This window comes from Homo sapiens, chromosome 10 (assembly GCF_000001405.40).
Source record: "Homo sapiens chromosome 10, GRCh38.p14 Primary Assembly".
Lineage (NCBI taxonomy): Eukaryota > Metazoa > Chordata > Mammalia > Primates > Hominidae > Homo > Homo sapiens.
In genome coordinates this window covers 30,308,667-30,333,260 of record NC_000010.11, presented here as the reverse complement: position 1 = coordinate 30,333,260, position 24,594 = coordinate 30,308,667, and the positions used below count along the sequence as shown (strand labels likewise).

Below are 24,594 nucleotides of genomic sequence, written 5' to 3'. Positions count from 1 at the left end.
TTGACCACCATCAACAGCAATATAATTTTACTCTTATGTAAGTGGGAGGCAAAATTTTTTCTTTGGTGGAAACAGGCAGGAGTTAGAAACTTTCTTCTTTTTTTTAAATTTATTTTTAATTAATTAATTTATTTTTTTTTGAGACAGAGTCTTGCTCTGTCTCCCAGGCTGGAGTGCAGCGGTGCCATCTCGGCTCACTGCAAGCTCCGCCTCCCGGGTTCACACTATTCTCCTGCCTCAGCCTCCCGAGTAGCTGGGACTACAGGCGCCCGCCACCACGCCCAGCTAATTTTTTGTATTTTTAGTAGAGATGGAGTTTCACCGTGTTAGCCAGGATGGTCTCGATCTCCTGACCTCGTGATCTGCCTGCCTCTGCCTCCCAAAGTGCTGGGATTACAGGCATGAGCCACTGCGCCCGGCCATTTTAATTTTTGTTTTCTTATTGACTCGTTGTTTCACCACGGTACCCAGGATAGTCTCGAACACCTGGGCTAACGATCCTCCTGCCTCAGCCTCCCAAAGTGCTGAGATTATAGGTGTGAGCCACTGCACCTGGCCTAGAAACTTTTAGTTGAGTCTTACTCTTAGATTTCTGAGGTATAGAGGTATTTAGAAAAAGATGTTTTAAAGACAGTGCTCCAGTCTTACTAAACAATTAGGCATTTTGGGCCGGGCACAGTGGCTCAAGCCTGTAATCCTACCACTTTGGGAGGCCAAGTCGGGTGGATCACTTGAGGTCAGGAGTTCGAGACCAGCCTGGCCAATGTAGTGAAACCCCGTCTCTACTAAAAATACAAAAATTAGCTGGGCGTGGTGGTGGGAGCCTATAATCCCAGCTACTCAGAAGGCTGAGGCAGGAGAATTGCTTGAACCCGGTGAGGCAGAGGTTGCAGTGAGCCGAGATCACGCCACCTCACTCCAGCCTGGGCGAAATAGCAAGACTCTGTCATACATACACAGAAATAACCAGAACTTGGCATTTCCTGTGTCAGTTTAAATTAGGAAAGTGTTGTTATAAACATACATGTGCTTATTTAAGGATTTTTTGGAAATATGTTTTTGTTCAAGATTATAATAGCTTTGCTAGTAAAAATATTAAAAATAAAATACAATAAAAAATACAAGTACTCTTACATTCATCAGATTCATAAAACCTTCTTTGACTACTTTCTGCATTCATGAGCTCTTCTCTTACCTTTTGTTTCTTTGATATCTTTTCACACTACACCTTGCTTTATAATTCTTTGTGTGTGTGTTTTATTCCTCAACTCAATCTGAGAGGAGTTAGGAAGAGTGTGTTAGACTTTTTTGCATGTCTTATGGCACTATGTATGATATCCCATGCACGATAGGGACTAAAATTATTTGCTAATGAATGAATAAAAGTTACTTACAGCTAGGCGTGGTGGCTCACGCCTGTAATCCCAGCACTTTGGGAGGCCAAGGTGGGCGGATCACCTGAGGTCAGGAGTTCAAGGCCAGCCTGGCCAATGTGGTGAAACCCCGTCTCTACAAAGATAACAAAAATTAGCCGGGCATGATGGCGGGTGCCTGTAATCCCAGCTCTTCAGGAGGCTGAGGCAGGAGAATCGCTTGAACCCAGGAGGCGGAGGTTGTAGTGAGCCGAGATTGCGCCACTACACTCCAGCCTGGGCGACAGAGCAAGACTAAAAAAGAAGGAAAGTTATTTACTAACTGAAATGTAGATTTTAATGTTCATAAATTTTTTAGTGTGTGTAAAAGTTGGTTACATGTGAAATATGTCACCTGACTTATCACAAAGATCATGTTAGCACAAAATCCTAAACTAAAATCTGCCTTTGGTCTTTCCTTCAGTTTTGCTTTTTCTTACAGGGTTCTGTATCTTAGAGGACTTAGGTAATAAAAGTAAGAATTAGTGCCTAAGTCTTGAGTACTGCTTTCTGTTATCTGAATGATTGCTGTGGACAGTGTGCTTAACTTCTGTTTTTTCTTTATTAGATGATTTGCTAATAAACAGATAGTGCTATAGGAATAGCACACATTAATAGGAAGTATTTATGGATCTAACTGTCTGTGAACAGTTTTTCTAGTTTTTATTTATTTAATAGAGGACAGTCATTTTTGAGAATATCTTTCCTTTGCTCATAATAAGTATAATTTTCATCTAAATTTTCCCTAAAGGCAGTGTTTTATTTCTGTACTGAGTCCATTGTGATTCTTCGTGGCTTGCATTTTTGGTCAGTCAGGTTAGGCTAGTTGATGCTTTGGTAACAAACAACTCCCATATCTCAAAGATCTCAGTGGCTTAACACATCACCTATTTATCTGTTGCTGAGGTTATATGTCACAGCAGGTCAGCATGGGCACTCTAGACATTGTAGTAGCTCAAGCACCCAGGCTGACCAGTGTTTCATCTCCACCTGCGCTACCATCACTGAATAGTGGAAAGGCAAAGTGAAGAATTGAGCATCGGCTCTTGAAGTTTCTGCCTGGAAGTGACACTTAAAACCTCTGCTCACATTTCACTGGCCAAAGCAAATCACATGAGTTTGCTTAACCTTAGAGGGGCAAGAACATGAGATCTTCCAAATGCCAGAAAGGTGATACAGAACATATGGTGAGCAGCTTCAATAACTACCACACTCCTGCTCATGGTTCACAGTTCACCACTTTCCTGCGCCCAGTTCCATTAATCAGAGCTATTTTTTCTTGTCATTTTCACTTCTGTTACCTCAAGGATTTTATTCTCTCATTTATAGTACTTAATTTAAAAAATCTCTGTCACCTTTCTTCTGAGTGATTCTAATCCTTCTGTTGCTTCTGAGATTGAGTCCACCATGACTCCTCCCTGATGTACTCTAGTACTGCTTTCTCACTTGACCTCTTTTTGCCATCCTGAGATAGACCCCCAATCTGTCTTTGCTTTTGTTTGGATTCCTATTCCTAACATAAATTGTGTGTGTTTGTATTTTAAAAGAGAATGGACAGGGAACTAGGTTATGAAGGTAAATTATAACAAAATGGCTAAGGAAGAATCTTGAAATTTTAATTTTTTAAAGGAAGTTTATTTTTAGTCCTTTTAATATAAAAATATCTAAATGACAGATCAGTAGAGAAAATGCCACATGTTTATTTGTAGGGATTGTATACAGTGATTTATTTAATCTATTTTTTTCTGATTATAAAATGATAGACATAGAAATACATAAGTATCTCTGTTGGTCACACTGCCTCCAGAGATAACCCGGTGAATAATTTAATATATTCTGGATTTTTTTTCCTGTGCGTATAGAAAAGCTTTTTTTTTTAAAAGAAAAAACCCAGAACATAATCTTTACCGATAATAACTTTAACTTCATTTTTTTTCCCCCATTAGTAGTGTCTTGGCAGTTCAATCTACTGTATCGCCCTCAGTGGCCGCAAAATACTCCATTGAATGGATGTACCATAATTTATTTAACCAGTCCTCTTTTTGTTGGATAATGAGGGTGGTATCTTTTTTTTTTCCCTCTTTCAGTGAAAGTGCCAAATCCTAGGCACTGGACCACTAGGTAACTTTTCCCCTCTTTATTGCCAACTATATATTAGTTAATATTCTTTGATTATACATTAGAGAAATAACACGAGTTAGCTTAAACAATTAAAGAAGTAGAGGAGGCATCATAGAACCCAGGGCCAGGAATATGGATGAGTCTTAGGAAAGGACTAGAAGTAAGAAGTGTAAACCATCAAGAACCCAGGAAGTGGCCGGGCCCAGTGCTTCATGCCTGTAATGACAGCACTTTGGGAGGCTGCAGCGGGAGGATCACTTGAGCTCAGGAGTTCGAGACCAGCCTGGGCAACATAGGCTGGGGGAGACCGCATCTCTGCTAAAAATAAAAAAATTAGCAAGGTGTGGTGGTGTGTACCTGTAGTTCCAGCTACCCTGAAGGTTGAGGCTGGAGGATTGCTTGAGTCTAGGAGGTTGAGGCTGCAGTGAGCTTGGTTGCACCACTGCACTTCAGCCTGGGTGGCAGAGTGATACCCTTTTTTTTTTGGATTCTCACTCTGTCACCCAGGCTGGAGTGCAGGGGCACAATCTCGGCTCACTGCAACCTTGGCCTCCTGGGTTCAAGCTATTCTCCTGCTTCAGCCTCCTGAGTAGCTGGGATTACAGGCTTGCACCACCATACCTGGCTGATTTTTTTTTGTATTTTTAGTAGAGATGGGGTTTCACCATGTTGGCCAGGCTGGTCTCAAACTCCTGACCTCAAGTGATCCGCCTGCCTCAGCCTCCCAAAGTGTTGGGATTACAGCCACCACAGGCAGCCTATGATACCCTGTTTCAAAAACAACAACAAAACAACCTAGGATGTGTTCTGTTTCTGTCTACATGTTTTTCCTTCATTTATTGCTCTCTCTCTCTGTCCTTAACTCCTTCCTCCCTACCCGCACTGATTTTCTTTTCTTTTTCATGCTTGTGTAAATATGGCTGCCCCAAAGCTTCTGAGTTAGATATTTTAGCCACATGGTTGCCTCTGAACCTTACTTAGTTCCTGTTCCCAGTAACCAGTTCCCAGTAGAGATCTCCAAATGAATGTGGGGTACACTCCTACAGTGCTTAGATCAGCTGTCTTTGCCCAGTCCATTCAGCTGAAAGGAAGGGGGTAGATGTCCATGATAAACATTGTTGGAGCCTTCATCCTTTTAGGAGGAATGAATTCTAGAAGAGGGAATAGTTGATAGGGAACCTTATTAAACTAGATACAGCTCCCAAAAGGTGTATACCACATGGATAGTACTGCAGTGAGTGAACATCTTTATAAATTGGCTCATTTATGCAAATATTCCTTTGACGTAATTTCTAACCATTTTAATAGTTAGCCAACGTATACAAGTTTCAGTAGATACGGACAAGTTCTACAAGAAGTATGTCCCTTGTTTACACTCCCATCAACAGTGTATACATGTTTTCTCATACGCGTTAGTTCTGGTCACTAACCTGTTTGTCTTTACCAGGCTGAAAAATAAAAAATCTCATTTCTGTTTTAATTTCTGTTTAGTTTCTAGAAAACATGCACAACTTTTATCATGGTTTTTAGCCATTTTTATTTTTTCTGTGAATTTTTTTGTCTTTTTTGCCCATTTTTAGAATTTGATGGGTTTCTCCCTTTCGTTTGCCTAAAACTGTCGTAAATTACCCGTTTGTATGATGTGTGTTATTTGCTTTGTTCTTTAGTAGTGAATGGATGCTTTGCCTTAAGGTGGTTTTAATTTTTTATGCAATCATATTCTTTTGTGTCTTCTCTAATTTTATGTCATGGTTACAGAATCTTTCGCTATTCTAAGATCGTAAAAGCATTCACTCATTGTCTTCTGGTACTTTACTGATGCACCTTTTACATTTTAGTCTTTGATCCATGTTGAATTTACTTCAGTTTTTTTTTTTTTTTTGAGATGGAGTCTTGCTTTGTCACCCAGGCTGGAGTGCAGTGGTGTGATCTCGACTCACTGCAACCTCCACCTTCCAGGTTCAAGTGATTCTCTTGCCTCAGCCTCCCAAGTAGCTTGGTTTACAGGTGCATGCCACCATGCCTGGCTAATTTTTGTATTTTTAGTAGAGACGGGGTTTCACCATGTTGGCCAGGCTGGTCTAGAACTCCTGACCTCAAGTTATCTGCCTGTTTCTGCCTCCCAAAGTGCTGAGATTGCAGGCATGAGCCACCATGCTCAGGGAATTTACTTGAGTTTTAGTAATTTATTTATTTATTTATTTATTTATTTATTTATTTATTTATTTTGAAATGGAGTCTCGCTCAGTTGCCCAGGCTGGAGTACAGTAGTGTGATCTTGGCTCACTGCAACCTCCATCTCCTGGGTTCAAGTAATTCTCCTGCCTCAGCCTCCCGGGTAGCTGGGATTATAGGCATCCGCCACCACACTTGGCTAATTTTTTTTTTTTTTTTGTATTTTTAAAAGAGATGGGGTTTCACCATGTTGGCCAGGCTGGTTTTGAACTCCTGACCTCAAGTGATCCACCCGCCTTGGCCTCCCAAAGTGCTAGGATTACAGACGTGAGCCACTGCACCCGGCGAGTTTTAGTATTAAACAAAGGATCTGGTTTATTTTTTTTGATGGCCACTTAACTCATTTGTTGAATAGGAATTTTCCCCTAGTAATTTGTGGCCTTAAATATTAAATTCCTATGTACAAGCCTGTTTACACCATCTAGTCTTCTTTCTTCTACTGATGAGCTCTTGTGCCTGTACTTCCATACTACTGTGGGTTTATAGCATAGATTAAAATATAATGGTCAACTGGGAAGGGGCAAGTATATGTTCACTGAATTTATAAGGTGAATGGTTCTATGCATAGTATTTATGATTCATTTTATACTGTAGTTCATAAGTTAATTACAAAAACCAGTGATCGTTCAAGTTAGTGCTTTGTATTTCTCTATATTCTGGAGAAACAGAAGGCAACTGGGGATCTTTTAAGTTTGCTTTTGGCTGTGATTTCTTGAAGAGTTTTTATTTTGTGGGTTGTTTTTTTCTTATTTTGTTTTGCTTTCCAGCAGTGATTTAGAGCATTCTTTTACAAAAGCTTATTAAAAAATTGTTTTTTTTACCAAAAGCTCCTATTTAGAAATGTGTTTATTTTTCAGATCTCAGGAAATTTTCTGATGGAATTTCAAGTGAAAAATGTTCCTTCAGAAAGAATTGCAACTCAGAAGATCCTGTCTGTGTTAGGAGAGTGCCTTGACCACTTTGGCCCTGGCTGTGTGGGTGTGCAAAAAATATTAAATGCCCGGTGTCCGCTCGTGAGGTTCTCACACCAGGCCTCCGGATTTCAGTGTGATTTGACTACGAACAATAGGTATGACCGCTTACATTTATTATTTTAAATATGAATATTCTGATATATTAGCTTAGTGTTTCTCACACAGAAACAGTGGCTTTGTAATCTTAAACATGCTTGAATAATAATTTTTTAAAAATTTATCACTTGGATTGAAAAGTAAGTAATCTTTTCTCTTACGTTATACCTGTTGATAATTTGGTGTTCCTAAACAGTGTTAGGATATTGTGTTAAAATGTTCACATATCTAACCTCTGAGAAGAAATGTATTTCATTATTCTTACTTGTGCAGCCTGGTAGTGTGTAGTGTGAAAGATGCCTATTTTTTAGGAGAAATTTCTGATGGCAAAAAAAGAAAAAAGTAAAATAAGAAAGAAAGATGCCTATTTATAGTACAAGCCTTCTAAGAATACTTAGAAAATAAAATACCAACTTGAAGTTGACCTTTGAATTGCCTCCAGATATATAGTCAACTTTGTGTACTAGACAAATGTCCCCTTTACTTAGGTCCAAAAGTGGTTGGAAGAGCTTAAGACCGGATGGCTTTTGTTCAGCCTATGTGCATTGTATTATCCTAGTGATTTGTTTGCTTAAAAAAGTGGGGTGGGAAAAGTTCTTTTGTACTGATGACTTTTCCTGGTTTCACAACAGGGAAAATTTCTTTATTTCATTTTTTTATCATTATTACTTTTGAGACGGAGTCTTACTCTGTTGCCTAGGCTGGAGTGCAGCACACTGCACGATCTCGGCTCACTGCAACCTCCACCTCCTGGGTTCAAGCGATTCTTGTGCCTCAGCCTCCCAAGTAGCTGGGATTGTAGATGCATGCCATCACGCTGGCTAATTTTTGTTTTTTTAGTGGAGACGGGGTTTCACCCTGTTGGCCAGGCTGGTCTCGAACTCCTGACCTGAAGTGATCTGCCTGCTTTGGCCTCCTAGAGTGCTGGGATTACAGGCGTGAGCCACTGACCCTGGCCCACAGTAGGGAAAATTTCTTAATTGAGAAGTTTATTTCTTAACTTCTCATTGCATGAGTTCATTTCACTATGTTATTTGTTAGCTAAATAATCATTACTGAAAATAGATTCAGAAAATCAAGGCTAGAGCAGTTTTGATTAAACTCGAATCTTCACCCACAAGCCAATCATAAGTACTTGCGACTTTCTCTCAAGTAAAACTCATGGAGTAAAGTCTGTGATTTCTTGACAAATTTTAGTATAAAAATATAATACTGTACTTTCTATCATTATTATATTTTCTTTGTAGTATGTAAAATAGGACAAAATTACATTTATCTTTGTAATTATGTTTTTTTCTTTATATCAAGATACCTTATACTTTTTGATATTTATTTTTAGCTTAATTTAGCTTCATTTTCATACATAAAACACTTAATCACAATGAATTTCTAAGTTGCTGTTTCTTCTTTTTCTTTTTCTTTTTTTTTTTTTGAGACATAGTCTTGCTCTGTCGCGTAGGCTAGAGTGCAGTGCCGCAATCTTGGCTCACTGCAATGCAACCTCCGCCTCCTGGCTTCAATCAATTCTCCTGCCTCAGCCTTCCGAGCTGGGACAGGCACATGTGATCATGCTGGCTAATTTTTGTAGAGACAGGGTTTCATCATGTTGGCCAGGCTGGTCTTGAACTCCGGACCTCAGGTGATCTGCCCACCTCGGCCTCCCAAGTGCTGGATTACAGGTGTGAGCCGCCACGCCTGGCCTTGTTTCTTCTATTCTTTTTAAAGACAGTTTTAGAGACAGTTTTAACTTGATGCTGTTAAATTATTTTTTTATGCCATCTGTTGGTTCTTGGAGAAATTACAAGACACGTTTTGATCAGTAGGAGCTTAATATTTTTAATTTAATTTAATTCTATTTTTACTTTTTTAGAGACAGTGTCTCTCTCTGTTGCCCAGGCTGAAGTGCAGTAGTGTGATCATAGCTCACTGTAGCCTCGAACTCTTGGGCCCAAACAATCCTCCTTTCTCAACCTCCTGAGTAGCTAGGATTACAGGTGCATGCCACCACGCCTGACTATTTTTTTAATTAAATTTTTAAAATTTTGTTTTTCTTTTATATATACATTTTTTATTTTTATAAAGACAGGGTCTTACTATGTTACCTAGGGTGGTCTCAAACTCCTGGGCTCAAGTCATCCTCCTGCTTTGAAATGCTGGGACTACAGGCGTGAGCCACAGTGCCCAGCCAATAAATGCCTTTTTGTCTTTATCGATTTTATATATATATATGTGTGTGTGTTTGAGATGATGCCTTACTCTGTCGCCAAGACTGAAGCCCAGTGGCTTAATTTTGGCACACTGCAGCCTCTACCTCCCTGGGCTCAGGTGATCCTCCCACGTCAGCCACCCAAGTAGCTGGGCCTACAGGTGTGCGACACCACACCCAGCTAACTTTTGTATTTTTTGTAGAGACAGTGTCTTGTCATGTTTCCCAGGCTGGTCTTGAACTCCTCGGCTCAAGCTATCTGCCCACCTCAGCTTCCCAAAGTTCTGAGATCACAGGTGTGAGCTACTGTACCCAGCCATTTATTAATAATTATAAAGCGCCTTTGTGTGTTTTACATATTATTTAAATCATGTTTAGAAACTTTGATTTAAAAATTCTAAGTTCTAGGCTGGGCACAGTGGCTCACGCCTGTAATCCCAGCATTTTGGGAGGCCGAGGCGAGTGGATCACGAGGTCAGGAGATTGAGACCATCCTGGCTAACACGGTGAAACCCCATTTCTACTAAAAATACAAAAAAATTAGCCGGGCGTGGTGGTGGGCGCCTGTAGTCCCAGCTACTTGGGAGGCTGAGGCAGGAGAATGGCGTGAACCCAGGAGTCGGAGCTTGCAGTGAGCCAAGATCGCGCCATTGCGCTCTAGCCTGGGCGACAGAGCGAGACTCCGTCTCAAATAAATAAATACATACATATTCTGAGTTCTAGATCTACATTTTCTTTATTTCTTTTTTTTTTTTTTTTTTTTTTGAGGCAGGGTCTTGCTCTGACACCCAGGCTGGAGTGCAATAACGCTTTCTCGGCTGACTGCAGCCTCCGCCTCCCGGGTTCAAGTGACTCTCCTGCCTCAGCCCCCCAAGTAGCTAGAATTACAGGCATGCGCCACCACGCCCAGCTAATTTTTGTATTTTTGTTTAAGACAGGGTTTCACCATGTTGGCCAGGCTGGTCTCAAATCCTGACCTCAGGTGATCCGCCCGCCTCAGCCTTCCAAAGGGCTGGGATTACAGGCATGAGCCACTACGCCTGGTCCTAGATCTACATTTTCTTTCTTTTTTTTTTTTTTTTTTTTTTGAAACGGAGTCTTGCTCTGTCTCCCAGACTGGAGTACACTGGTATGGTCTCAGCTCACTGCAACCTCTGCCTCCCGGGTTCAAGCAATTCTCATGCCTCAGCCTCCTGAGTAGCTGGGATTACGGGGGCACGCCACCACGCCCAGCTGAATTATTGTATTTTTAGTAGAGAAGGGGTTTCACCTCGTTGTCCTTGAACTCCTGGCCTCAAGTGATCCGCCCACCTCGGCCTCCCAGAGTGCTAGGATTACAGGCATGAGCCACCGAGCCCGGCTTACATTTTAATTATCAATTTTAAGAGGATGTTTTAATGGGAATGAATGTATTTGATATTCAGCCATTCATATTAAATTTTATATTGCAAATTCATAATGCTTTTGATTACCTAATGATGTTCTGAATACATTCAGATATAGTAGGATATTTAGATGTGTTTCTTGGTTTGAGTTTAATTTTACCCTTGGTTTATAATTTGGGGATTTGAACATTTTTCTTATTTTTATTTTTTGAAGGATTGCCTTGACAAGTTCCGAACTCCTTTATATATATGGTGCCCTAGACTCAAGAGTGAGAGCCTTGGTGTTCAGTGTACGGTGCTGGGCTCGAGCACATTCACTAACAAGTAGTATTCCTGGTGCATGGATTACAAATTTCTCCCTTACAATGATGGTCATCTTTTTTCTCCAGAGAAGATCACCCCCTATTCTTCCAACACTAGATTCCTTAAAAACCCTAGCAGGTAAGACTAGAAAGAAACTTCTCCATTTTCTTTTTCCAATGTTATGAGTAAATATAATTACCATGTGTTACCAAAGTCCCGTCTATTTGTTTATTAGTCATAAAATTTGTCTTGACTTTTTTTTAAAGTCTACCGGAGTCACGAGAGCAGATGATTTGGGAAGCTAGGGCCTTTAGCATTTTTTGAGAGTTCTGTTTTCTTTGTATCAGTTGGCAAGGTTGTTTACAGCAGTTGTGAGATAGCTGGAGCTTCTCCCCTAGTTGACCAAGTCTAGAATGACCTTTTTCAGATACAACTTGTTCAGATACAACTTTTGATTGGATCACAGTCTCAGAGATGACTTTCAAATCTGAACTTATGTTTAGACTTGTATTAGAGATACTAAAACTGCTTCGTGATGTTTCAAAGATTCTAAATGTGTTTTTAATGAAAAGCATATAAGCAGTCTTAGGTGCATTATTTTAAATTTGACATACTATATTGTTTGTATTATAAATGATTTTATAAATGCCTCCCAGATTCAAGTGATTCTTGTGCCTCAGCCTTGCTGAGGCCTGCTGGAGAAGTTATGTTATAAAATCTTGAAACTGTAAATGCTAAAGGGAAGATAATTAAGGGGTACATACACACAAATGCATACTGTCTTCTACCCGTCTTACATAATTGCTGCCTGATAATTCGATTAAGTGCCTTCTTGAATCTTCCTGTTTAAAATGACCTTAAGAGGCAAACTATTTACATAGCTTGGTGTTTAAAATCTTTAGCTCTCTAGACACGGCCCAGTTTTCCATGCTCTTCCCTACTCCTCTTTATGTGTCCCACATTCCAGCCAGTGCTGTGATTACCCTTGGAACATTTCATCTTAGCTTTTTGTTCACACTGTTTTTCTGCCTGGAATCTGCTTTCTCTTCTCCCAGTCTAAATTATTTCTTCCATGCTACCTTCCTTTATCCATATTAGAAGTGATCTCTTCCTGTTAACACTGTAAGTGTTGATATTGTTTGAAATTGACCTTAAAAAAAGCTTGATTTGTGTTTACAACTAATTGATCACAACCAGTTACAAATTTCTGTGTTCCTTCTCCACTCTCACTGCTTCACTTGACTAGCCTAAAGAAATAAAGTAAAATGAAATAAAATAAAATAAAATAAAGCTAGATTTGATAGGTTAAGGGAAAATGGGAAGTTTTCAGTGGGGTAGAGTGGTGGTCACTTATCTCACTTTTGAGATTAAAATAAAGGGCAGCATCAATATCTGTGCTCATTTCATCCCTTAGTGTCATTCATTCAGTATTTACTGATTACTTCCTATGCGTCAGGTGTTATTGGAGTAGTGGGGGTATGAACAGTGTTCCCAGATAACTCACAATCTAATGGAGAGGTAAGCCATACATAAGATATGGGCAGATCTTCACCACTAAACTACCTGTAAGTAGCACTTCCTTTTCCACTCCTGCTGTGTGCAGTGGTGCTTAATGCTACTCTCATAGAAACCATCGTGGGGAAAAATAACGGAACTTTGGGAGTTCAGAAACTAAGAAACAGTAGAAGCTGTAAAAGGAGGAGCAGAAGAAAGTTGAACTTGGGGTAGACTACTCCTAAGCATCTTGATTGCTCCCTTCAGTCTTACAAGTACTGGTACCCCTGCCCATGTTAAGGCCCTGTTGTCCTCTGCCTGGGAAGGCTTATGTTGTCTTTCCTCCTTATCTCAAGTTTGGTTCCCACCAATCTATTCTTAGTTAAGAGAGTGATTTTCACAAACACATATGATAGTATTACCCTCTTTTGCAGTCCTTCAGTAACTTTCTATTATCTTTTTTAAAAATGGTCACTATTTTTTTAAAAATTTTATTTATTATTTATTTATTTTAAGAAAGGGTCTTGCTCTGTTGCCCAGTCTGGATTACAGTGGCACAATCTCGGCTCACTATAGCCTCGACCTCCCGGGCTCACGTAATCTCACTTCAGCCTCCTGAATAGCTGGGACTATAGGCATGCACCACCATACCTGGCTAATTTTTTAATTTTTTGTTGAAACGGGGTCTCGCCATGTTTCCCAGACTGGACTTGAACTGGGCTCAGGGGATCCTCCCATCTTGTTCTCCCAAAGTGTTGGGATTACAGGCGTGAGCCACTGTGCTCTACCTTGTAGGCAGGCTGGAGTGCAGTGGTGCAATCTTGGCTCACTGCAACTCTGCCTCCCAGGCTTAAGTGATCCTCCCACCTCAGCCTCCTCAATAGCTGGGATATACAGGCTTGTGCCACCACTCACTCAGCTAATTTTTTAAAAAACTTTTTGTAGACATGGTGTCTTACTATATTGCCCAGGCTGGTCTCAAACTCCTAGGCTCAAGCGATCCTTCTCAGCCTCCCCAAGTGCTGGGATTTTAAATGACCTGTTGAGTTTTTAATTCCAAATCTACATTAAAATACATTTAAATATGTTCACATCGTATAGCATCAAAACAGGCAAAACTAGCTTGGAATTCTTTAATATTTCACTTGAAACATCAAATTTGATTGTTTTTAAATTTTTGCAGTAGTTTTTAAATACGGTAAGAGAATTTTTCAGGCTAGTTTTTGCAATTGCTTCTCGGCATATAGCACATTGTAGGTGCGAATTGCCAATAAATGCCAAGCAAAATACACTTTTTGCCTTCCATCACCTATGGTTTTTGAAGTTGCTGTAAAAGAACTTGTCTTAGATTAATGTATATTAAGAATTTGGTGAAGATCATTTTGAGGAGAATTTATCAATATTTTCCTTTTCCTTTTTTTTCCCTCCAAAATCCATGGTTTTTATACTTTCTAATTTTGACCAGTAGTTCAACTTTGGTGGACATTAAACCTAAGGAAGAAAACAATTTTAAACTGTGAAACAATCAAAACCATATTGAGTACTTGGTGTTTAATCATGTAAGTGACCTGAATCTTGTGTACAATCATTTCATTTCTTCTAAGCTGTACCTCTCATTTGATATACAAATAATCAATTTGTTCTTTTTTAAAAGAAAAAATATTTTATTTGCTTCCTTGCTTGTTTATTAATAGAAGGCAACATGAATTCCTAGAATACCTTCCAGAACTTCTAGGATTTTGTAAACTACTATTTAGAACCTAAGCTAAGCTAAAGACCAAACTTTTTCACATTGTATGCAGGGCCCTTTATCACCTTCCTTTTTATCCTCTTCTTTTACGTTGATTCCTGTATACCAGTTGGGAGCTTTAGCCACTCTTGAACTCCTTGATGATCCCTGATGTTTTGTGCTTTTTTTCATTGCTCCATGCTTTTGCCTGAAATGGCCTTCTCCCAGCCTCCCCCTCCCAGCCACCCCGCTTTTTTTTATGGAGAATCTCAAGATTAAGCCAGAGAAGACAGACAAACCTAGTACAGGATCTCATCTGTTAGGTCTTTTCTTGCTGTCCTCTCTGCTTCCCAGTGGGTAGTGCTTTGTTGGTTTCCAAGCTCTTGGTACACACCTGTATTGTAACAACTGTTAGATTGTTGTAGTTCTTTTATGTGCCTGCCTCAGCATTGTCAAGCTTTTCTAGGGCTAGCTGTCTGCTTCACCTCTGCGTCTTCTGTTCTCGGAATAGTATTGGGTTCATAGTAGGAGTTCACTATGTAGATTTCAAAATGATTGGATAACATTTTAAAGTTGAGGGCTGTTTGTACTGGGCAAGATGGACCATGATATTAACTTTCATATTTGGTTCCTCTTGAATTGCCCTGTTTATTTGTGTTTTCTTATAATCTCCACTGTGTTCTCTCATATGTCTCATTTTCTTGTGTTTTCCATGCTTTCTGGCTTTGCTACTTTTGTTACATTTACTTCTGTGCTTAGTGCTTTAATTGAAGATTCATTCCTGAAAAAAGACACAGCAGCTAAAAGAGCATCAATATATGTGACTGACACTGCATCACAAAAAAACATACACTGTTAATTACTTGAAATAGTAAAACATGTGCTCAGGTTCCTTAAAAATAGATCTAAGTAGAAATATATATACATACATACATTTTATATAGCTCCTTCAACATATTATAAATTGTATAGTAGAGCACGTAAAATGTGCTATTAAAATGTTAAAACCTAGAATAATTTTTGAGAAATTATGCAGGTAACCAGGTCTTGACAAAAAAATGACAAAAAACACAAAAAATGGGAGATAAATTTATAGGAGGCTTATTTATCTCTCTGGTGATTATAGGCATTTAAAGTCAAATATCAGGGCCGGGCACGGTGGCTCACGCCTGTAATCCTAGCATTTTGGGAGGCCGAGGCGAGTGGATCACTTAAGGTCAGGAGTTTGAGACCAGCCTGGCCAATATAGTGAAACCCTGTCTCTAACTAAAAATATAAAAATTAGCCGGGTGTGGTGGTGTTCGCCTGTAGTTCCGGCTACTCAGGAGGCTGGGGCAGGAGAATCACTTGAAGCCGGGACGCGGAAGTTGCAGTGAGCCAAGGTCACGCCGCCACTGCACTTCAGCCTGGGTGACAGAGCCAGATTCCATCTCAAAAAAAAAATTAAAATATCAGCAGTCATCCAGATTATTGATTATATACCTGCTATATGCTAGATGCTCATTGGGGGCAGGTCGGTGGTGGGGAGTTGGGCAATAATGAATAGGACAGTGGCCTTTGTAATTCCTGACTGGGGCAGAGGAGTGGACAGCATACAAACAGTCACAATGCAGTCAGATAAGTCAAATGGTGAATGGAACAAAAAGGATGGAAAACCAGTTTGGAATTATGAAATGCTTTCAGATAGGAAGTAGCCATTGATGAGATTTCTGAAGAGTGGGAATTTGCTCTTGAAAACAGCATAGTATCTGTTGCAGATAGTGTGGGCCAGGGATTTCATGGTGGTTGTATATTTATGAAAATGATTACCTCTTAAGATATAAATACTAGTAGGAAAGGTGAATATCTGAGTCTAACGTGCTGTTATTGAGTTTGTTTTGCTGAATTACTGAATTCCAGTTAGTCTAGAGTGCTACATTTTAGAAATTACCTGAAGCTTTTTTAGTTAGCATTCAGTTTGTGTCGTGTATGAAGATGATAAGAATGGAATTGGAGATGTAAATTAAGTATTGACTAGAGGTAGTGCTGAAATTTGGTTTGGTGAAAGATGGGGGAACTCCCTACATTTCCATCTACTGTTAGAAAACTGATTACCTCAAAAATTGATTAGGAATCATTGGGTTGTTGAAAGACAATAATTCTAGTATGCTAAATTAAATGTAATGTTAATTTCACTGTGGCATAACTAGTCTCAAATCTTTTTTTAAAATATAACTCCATTAAAAGAAGATAAAAAGATTTGAGATTAGTTATGCCATAGTGAAATTAACATCATTAAATCATAGACAAGAAATTATAGATTAAATCGTTATTTAATCATTCAGTCATAATTATTCAATCATTTATAAAATCTGTGATTTAAATAAAGAATAGAGTAGAAATTTACTTAAATTTGTTTTGTTTTGTTTTGTTTTGTTTTTTGAGATGGAGTCTTGCTCTCTTGCCCAGGCAACAGTGATGTGATCTCAGCTCATTGCAACCTCCGCCTCCTGGGTTCAAGCGATTCTCGTGCCTCAGCCTCTTCAGTAGCTAGGATTACAGGAGCAAGCCACCATGCCTGGCTAATTTTTGTATTTTTAGTAGAGATGGGGTTTCACCATATTGGCCAGGCTGGTCTCGAACTCCTGACCTCAGGTGATCTACCCGCCTCAGCCTTCCAAAGTTCTGGGATTACAGGTGTGAGCCACCGCGCCTGGCCTTAAATTTATTTAAATCATAGATTTGTATTCTGAGGTAGGGAATATCTTTGAAATATGTGAAATAGGCTGGGTGCGGTGGCTCACGCCTGTAATCCCCTCACTTTGGGAGGATGAGGTGGGTGGATCACCTGAGGTCAGGAGTTCGAGACCAGCCTGGCCAACATGGTAAAACCCCATCCCTATTAAAAATACAAAAATGAGCTGAGCGTGGGGGCATGTGCCTATAATCCCAGCTACCCGGGAGGCTGAGGCAGGAGAATTGCTGGAACCTGGGAGGTGGAGGCTGCATTGAGCTGAGATCATGCCGCTACACTCCAGCCTGGATGACAGAGTGAGACTCCATCTCAGGCAAAGAAAAAAAAAAAACACGTGAAATATTTTTTGTTTGTGTTTAAGATGCAGAAGATAAATGTGTAATAGAAGGCAACAACTGCACATTTGTTCGTGACTTGAGTAGAATTAAACCTTCACAGAACACAGAAACATTAGGTAAGTGTCTTTCTGTTTACTTGATCCTTTCTGGATTGAAACAGGCTTTCCTCTGATTGTCCTTGTTTTATTTTCTTACAGAATTACTACTGAAGGAATTTTTTGAGTATTTTGGCAATTTTGCTTTCGATAAAAATTCCATAAATATTCGACAGGTAAATAATGTTTTACTATTTAGTTATTAGTATCTGGTCTTCCACTGTACTAATATTTAATTAACTGTTTTCAAAACACTCTAATAAATGTTATTTATTTCTTTTGTGTAGTAATTTGTAGTAACAAGGAGGTTGATGTCCAGAGAAGTTACATGACTTGACTAAGATCAGTCATCCCTTTATGCCAAATAGTAAAAGCCAGCTCTTTAGCATCTGCCTTGTTATTATGCCATGGGACTTCTGTCCTCACTTAGTGTAATACTGTATCCCTCATGATGTGGAATACATTCCAGAAAGTTTCCTGAAAACTATTATTTACATACAGCTGTTTTTAAACTGGATTTGTGTCTATGGAATAAACTTAAGTCCCAAAGATAGATTTCAGTGATTCCCTCAATTTGAGCCCTTAGGATTTAGGTGTTTTTTTGTTTTGTTTTGTTTTGTTTTGTTTTTTTTTTTTGAGCAAATGAACTTACGATTTGGATTTCTGAGCAGCTGGGATGAAAGACATTTTTTCTTTTCAAAAAGAAACTCAGGCAGAAGTCTAGACAAAATTTGTTTGCAAGTGGGAGATAACTTGGGATAGCCCTCTGTTTGGGTTTATTCTGTTTAGCATTTGGCTACTTGATTACAAACCTTACAAGATTGGCTTCATAAAACACAAACCCAGATATACTTTCTCCTTATTTCTTCACCTCTCCGTTTTTCATCCTTCCCTCTTACCTGCTCATGGACTCTTTGTTAAAATAAAAGATTGGGGAGAGGAGAGAGAAAGGATTCATTCGGAAAGCTTTGCAAATGCTATCTAGAAGGAAAAAGTCATAAGCATACAAAGTTCGTCACCTTTTTTGTACTCCAAAGCTCAGAGATGCCAAGCATGAAATAAGTTAGGGAATATAACAGCTGCTGCTCACATCAGGGAATTTTGACCATTGGCTTTGTAATAGTTAATTAAGTAAATTTATGGTATCATTTGAAAGAGGAAAAGATATATAGACTAATGGCTTATGTTAGTCATATGATTCATAGCTTTAGCTTTTCTTTTTCTTTTCTCTTCTTTTTTTTTTTTTTTTTTTTTGTTTTTGTTTTTTGAGACAGAGTCTCACTGTATTGCCCAGGCTGGAGTGCAGTGGCATGATCTTGGCTCACTGCAGCCTCCGCCTCCTGGGTTCAAGTGATTCTCCTGCCTCAGCCTCCTAAGTAGCTGGGATTACAGGCATGCGCCACAACACCTGGCTAGTTTTGTATTTTTAGTAGAGATGGGATTTCACCATGTTGGTCAGGCCTGTCTTGAACTCCTGACCTCAGGTGTTCCACCTGCCTCGGCCTCCCAAAATGCTTGGATTACAGTTATCTTTTTTATTTCTGTGAGATACTATCTTATGTGGCAGAGCCCTTTTGTTGGATCTATAGGAAGATAATGGAAACTTTTTAGTGTTTTAAATAAATAATGAATAATCCTTTGTTCCTCCTCTTTTTCCTCATCTCATACTTGGGAAACATTAATTAATATATTTAATTTAAGGGTTCTAATTTTGTGTGTTCCTGTTTCTACCATAATAGGTATGCTTTTAGCAAGTCTCAGAAATAAACGTATCTTCATCTTACTTTCTGATTTTTTAATCATTTTTTTCCCTTTCATGCTCTACCTTGTTAGGTAAAAGTTATATTATTTTAAAAATACTTTTGTCGGTTGAGTTAGTCCAGATACCTCTTCTCTGAGCAATGACATCATCATCCATAGATGATAAGCCCTAAGTTATTTCTCCAAAGAACACTCATAAAACTTACAACAGGGAAAAAAAAAACAAAAAATGAGAAGTACACACACCCACCATGCATACATACTCAATCCCCTGAGAAAGAAATTCTTTGCTATGTAAAGTTAATGCTGGTGTTTTATGTGTTTTGACATTTTATTGAGTTAACTGTTTTTATATTTAAGCCCTTCATGTACTTACTCATTTTTTCTTCTGTGTAATAATCTATAGGGAAGGGAGCAAAACAAACCTGATTCTTCTCCTCTGTACATTCAGAATCCATTTGAAACTTCTCTCAACATAAGCAAAAATGTAAGTCAAAGCCAGCTGCAAAAATTTGTAGATTTGGCCCGAGAAAGTGCCTGGATTTTACAACAGGAAGATACAGATCGACCTTCCATATCAAGTAATCGGCCCTGGGGGCTGGTATCCCTATTGCTACCATCTGCTCCAAACAGAAAGTCCTTTACCAAGAAGAAAAGCAATAAGTTTGCAATTGAAACAGTCAAAAACTTGCTAGAATCTTTAAAAGGTAACAGAACAGAAAATTTCACAAAAACCAGTGGGAAGAGAACAATTAGTACTCAGACATGATGGCTGCTACATTGTGTAAAGAACTGGGCTTAGCCTATCAAATGGTCTGTGGACTTACTTGGAAAAACTGATTTGAAACTTTCACAGATCTCAGCTTTCATCTGATGTCACTTTTCATGATCTTCTCATTGGCCCCCTTAACCTGGTCTGAAGTTCTGGGATGTTTTCAGTTTGATCAGTCTGATACTCAGTGGCACTTTATTAAAACATCAGCTGTGGAGTGTGGCGGTGCACACCTGTAGTCCCAGCTGCTCAGGAGGCTGAGGCAGGAGGATCTCTTGAGCCCAGGATTTTGAATCCATCGTGGACAACATAGCAAGATTCCATCTCTAAAAAAAATGAAAATAAACATAAGCCACAAGGAATGGGTGAAAGATTATTGTAATGTGCTTTAACTAAATAGGTAAATATACTAAACAAATGCTAAAACTCAGTTTTAGGATGAAACCATTGTTGATATCCACATCAGTCCCTGTTTAGAAAACATTTAAAATGACTTTTAGTTATGTACAGTACGTTGGCAATGAATACATTAAGCTTCAAAATTTGGTAGTGCTCTCGAATATGTATATTTGTATTTTTCAAGCGAAGTTCTCTTATTCACATATAAATTAAAGTGGGTTGGTACTGATATCAAAAAATGTTTATGTTTTTAGAACAGACATTTCAGTCACTGCATTCTTAGGTATTCCAAACCAAATATGATGACATCAATAGATTGCATTTTAAAAATATTGTTTGATTTTTCTATTTTCAAAAATAAAATTCTGTTTCTAACTAAAATGTGATATTCCCAGTATTCCTTCACATCTCTTTTGAGAACTCCCCTCTTCCTGCAGGAAAGAGACATATTTGTCTCTCAGTATATGCAGAAAATTGGTTCCAGGACCATCCACGTACACCCAGATCTGCACACACTGAACTCCTTCAGTCCTGTGGAGCCCGTGCATGGGAGAATTCCACCTTGCACATAAGCAGATTTTGCATCCTGTGAAAGTACTGTATTTTCTTTCTTTCTTTTTTTTTTTTTTTTTTTTTTGAGACAGAGTCTCGCTCTGTCGCCCAGGCTAGAGTGCAGTGGCGCAATCTCGGCTCACTGCAAGCTCTGCCTCCCAGGTTCACGCCATTCTCCTGCCTCAGCCTCTCTGAGTAGCTGGGACTATAGGTGCCCGCCACCACGCCCGGACAATTTTTTTGTATTTTTAGTAGAGACAGGGTTTCACCATGGTCTCGATCTCCCGACCTCGTGATCAGCCCACCTCAACCTCCCAAAGTGCTGGGATTACAAGCGTGAGCCACCATGCCTGGCCGAGAATACTGTATTTTCAATCCAAGTTTGGTTGGAAAAAATCTGTGTGTAAATGGACTTCGCAGTTGAAACCCATGTTGTTCAATGGGCAACTGTATATTGAAATTTAATTTCCATTACATTCTCTGTGGAGCAACTTTTTTGCTTTGTTTCGTTTTGTTTCTGAGACGGAGTTTTGCTCTTGTTGCCCAGGCTGGGGTGCAATGGCACAATCTCAGCTCACTGCAACCTCCGCCTCCCGGATTCAAGTGATTCTCCTGCCTCAGCTGGGATTACAGGCGCCCACCACCAAGCCCAGCTAATTTTTGTAGTTTTAGTAGGGACAGGGTTTCACCATGTTGGCCAGGCTGATCTCGAACTCCTGACCTCAGGTGATCGCCCACCTTGGCCTTCCAAAGTGTTGGAATTACAGGCGTGAGCCACTGCACCTGGCTTCTGTGGAGTAACTTTCTATTTAAGAAGCAAGTAAGGCCTGGGCATAGCGGCACATGCCTGTAGTCCCAGGTACTTGGGAGGCCGAGGCACAAGGACTGCTTGAACCTGGGAGGCAGAGGCTGCAGTGAGCTGAGATCACAGCACTGTACTCCATCCTGGGCGACAGTGAGACTCTCTCAAAGGAAAAGAAGCAAGTAGTATAGTGTTTAAAAACAGACTTGAGCGAGACTGGCTCAATGACAAGTTACTCAGTCTCTTGGGGCCCCTGTTTGATCTGTAAAATGGGGATCATGATCAGATCAATGTGAGGATTAAGCGAGGGATGTAGGAAAATGCTAGGTCAGTGCATTTTCCTGGCGCGAAGTAAATGTTACTTCTCTTTAACTGTTGCCTTTCGGTGTTTGTGGTATGTAATTACCTTTTTTGCTACTCAAAATTCAGATTTAGAGTTTGTAGTACTTTAAAAATTTTTCCCATTTAAATTTTATGTCAGAAATTATAATGGGTTCTGCATGGGATATTTTAAGAAACTCAGCATTGTTATGAAGCAAATGAATTCTGTGTCCTTGTGTCTGTGCTATTGGATTGCACATTTGACACCAACAAATATCAGTGTTCTGTACAGGCGATGTCTTTAAAAGCCATTTTTCATTTGTTCTTTATTTTGTTGGGCTAGAAATCCATATTGATTTAAAAAGCTTAAAAAGCATAAACCACTTAAGGGTTTCTAAATGAAATTTTTTTTTCTGTTCACAGATATTTAGTCAGATATTTTCTTTTTTAGGTTGGTGCTAGGTGTAATATGGTTATTTAAGCACATAAAGTATGTGTATGGGTTAGCATTTTCTTTTCTTTTTGGTAATTTGTAGGACAGCCTTGACACTAGGCTGTTTTACTTTTCAGAATCAGATTTAATTATGTGATTAATTTTAAATCTACAAAGACTTGTTTTTTGTTTTTTTTTTTGAGAGCAAATCTTGCTCTGTCACCCAGGCTAGACTGCAGTGGTGCGATCTCGGCTCACTGCAACCTCTGCCTCCTGGGTTCAAGCGATACTCCTGCCCCAGCCTCCCAAGTAACTGGGATTACAGGCGCCTGCCACCATGCCTAGCTAATTTTTGTATGTTAGTAGAGACGGGGTTTCACCATGTTGGCCAGGCTGGTCTTGAATTCCTGACCTCAAGTGATCTACCTGTCTCAGCCTCTCAAAGTGCTGGGATTACAGGTTACAGGTGTGAGCCACCGCACCTGGCCTACAAAGACCCTTTTTTTTTTTTTTTTTTGAGATGGGTCTCCCTCTGTCACCCAGGCTGGAGAGTGCAGTGATCTTGGCTCACTGAAACCTCCACTTCCCGGGTTCAGGTGATTCTTCTGCCTCAGCCTCCTGAGTAGCTGGGATTACAGGTGCATGCCACCACACCTGGCTAAGTTTTCTATTTTTAGTAGAGATGGGGTTTTACTCTGTTGGCCAGGCTGGTCTCGAACTCCTGACCTCAGGTGACCTGCCCACCTCGCCCTCCCAAAATGCTGGGATTACAGGCATGAGCCACCACGCCTGGCTGCAAAGACCTTTTAATACACAGTTTTAAAGTCTGTTCAACTGAATATAGACTACAGACAAATATATTTTCTCATAACTTTAGTGTATCACAACCCAGATTTTTAAAATATTTTTATTACGTGATAGTGATAACTAGCAATTATTTGTCATTGCTGTTTCTTAATTAAAAATAATTGCAATGTTAAGTAAAACTTTTTTCAAGTTTTTTTCTTCTATAACTATTACTAGGCTTTCATTCAGTAGCTTTCACCTGTAATGAGTTTTACTAAGTATGTGAAAGTAATTTTGATAGGAGACTACCCAGATCAAAACGATTTCAGCTATAGCCCACTAGTATAATTCCTGGAGCTATTATCCATCTTTAGAAAATTTGAGAATTAGCCAGAGACTTTCTAGGAAATAACGATTAGCCTGAAACGTTATAGGAAAACTGTGTGTAATTATCTCATTCACCTTCAGTTACCATAAAGGAGAAGGGAAAATAAAGTTGAGTTGAAATAAGACTTTTTTCTGCTGTCATTTCCTATTGGCGTCTTTCTTTTGCTGTAGTCAGGTGTAGAGCTCTACTCAGGTGGCTTACGCTGTAGTCAGGTGAGAGCAGAATTAGATTGTTCCACCTCATTCCATGCTCCTAGGATTTCCTTGGCCTTCCAAGTACAGCCATATTCATCCCTTTAGAGCCTCCTGGTGCCGTGGTAGGGAAATGCTACATTTGCCTGTGTAAATAAGCAAACACTGAATATGTGCAGCAAAGCCAGAAGGAGCTTCCAAGCAGATGCATCTTGTTGAAGTAGCAACTCCACTTTGCAGAGTTTGACATTCAGTTGGTGAGTAGCTGTCATATGTTTGGAGAACTAGGGGTCCAGATTGGCTAGGATGTAGTTTTTAATGTGATACGCAGAAGTTAAGGTTGAGCAAGATGGGGAAGAACTGCCAATTTCAAGTTAAGGAGGTTGAGTATATCTTCATTGGTAAATCATTGATGATTTGTTGTTGTTGTTTTTGAGGCAGAGTCTAGCTCTGTTGCCCAGGCTGGAGTGCAGTGGTGCGATCTCAGCTCACTGCAACCTCTACCTCCTGGGTTCAAGCAATTCTCAGGCCTCAGCCTCCTGAATAGCTGGGATTACAGGCACACACCACCTCACCCAGCTAATTTTTGTATTTTTAGTGGAGATGGGGTTTTGCCATGCAGGCCAGGCTGGTCTCAAACTCCTGACCTCAGGTGATCTGCCTGCCTCAGCCCCTCAAAATGCTGGGATTACAGGCGTGAGCCACCACGCCCGGCCCATTGATGGTTTTCATGCAAAGGGATAATAAAAAAGCAGCTTTTAGATGATTAATCTGTTGATACCTAGTAGTTTTAGATCATGGCTTTTTTGTTGTTGTTGTTGTTGAGACACCGTCTCAGTTTGTTGCCCAGGCTGCGCTGGACTGCAGTGGCACAATCTCAGCCTCACTGCAACCTCCACCTCCCAGGCTCAAGCGATCCTCCCACCTCAGCCTCCTGGGTAGCTGGGACTACAAGTGTGCCCCACTACTCTCAGCTAATTTTTGTATTTTGTTGTAGAGACAGGGACAGGGTTTCACCATGTTGCTCAGGCTGGTCTTGAACTCCTGGACTCAAGTAATCTGCCCAC

At 39.8% G+C, this 24,594-nt stretch overlaps 1 protein-coding gene across 1 annotated transcript in view; it reads left to right on the top strand.

Annotated features, from left to right (window-relative positions):
• Positions 1–23,460, top strand: part of MTPAP (mitochondrial poly(A) polymerase) — a 39,478-nt gene extending 16,018 nt beyond the window's left edge. The window contains exons 5-9 of the mRNA NM_018109.4: positions 6,626–6,837; positions 10,644–10,870; positions 17,051–17,143; positions 17,225–17,298; positions 19,290–23,460. Of these exons, the coding sequence (NP_060579.3) occupies positions 6,626–6,837; positions 10,644–10,870; positions 17,051–17,143; positions 17,225–17,298; positions 19,290–19,652 (969 nt within the window). The 3' untranslated portion in view covers positions 19,653–23,460. The remainder of the gene's footprint in view (positions 1–6,625; positions 6,838–10,643; positions 10,871–17,050; positions 17,144–17,224; positions 17,299–19,289) is intronic.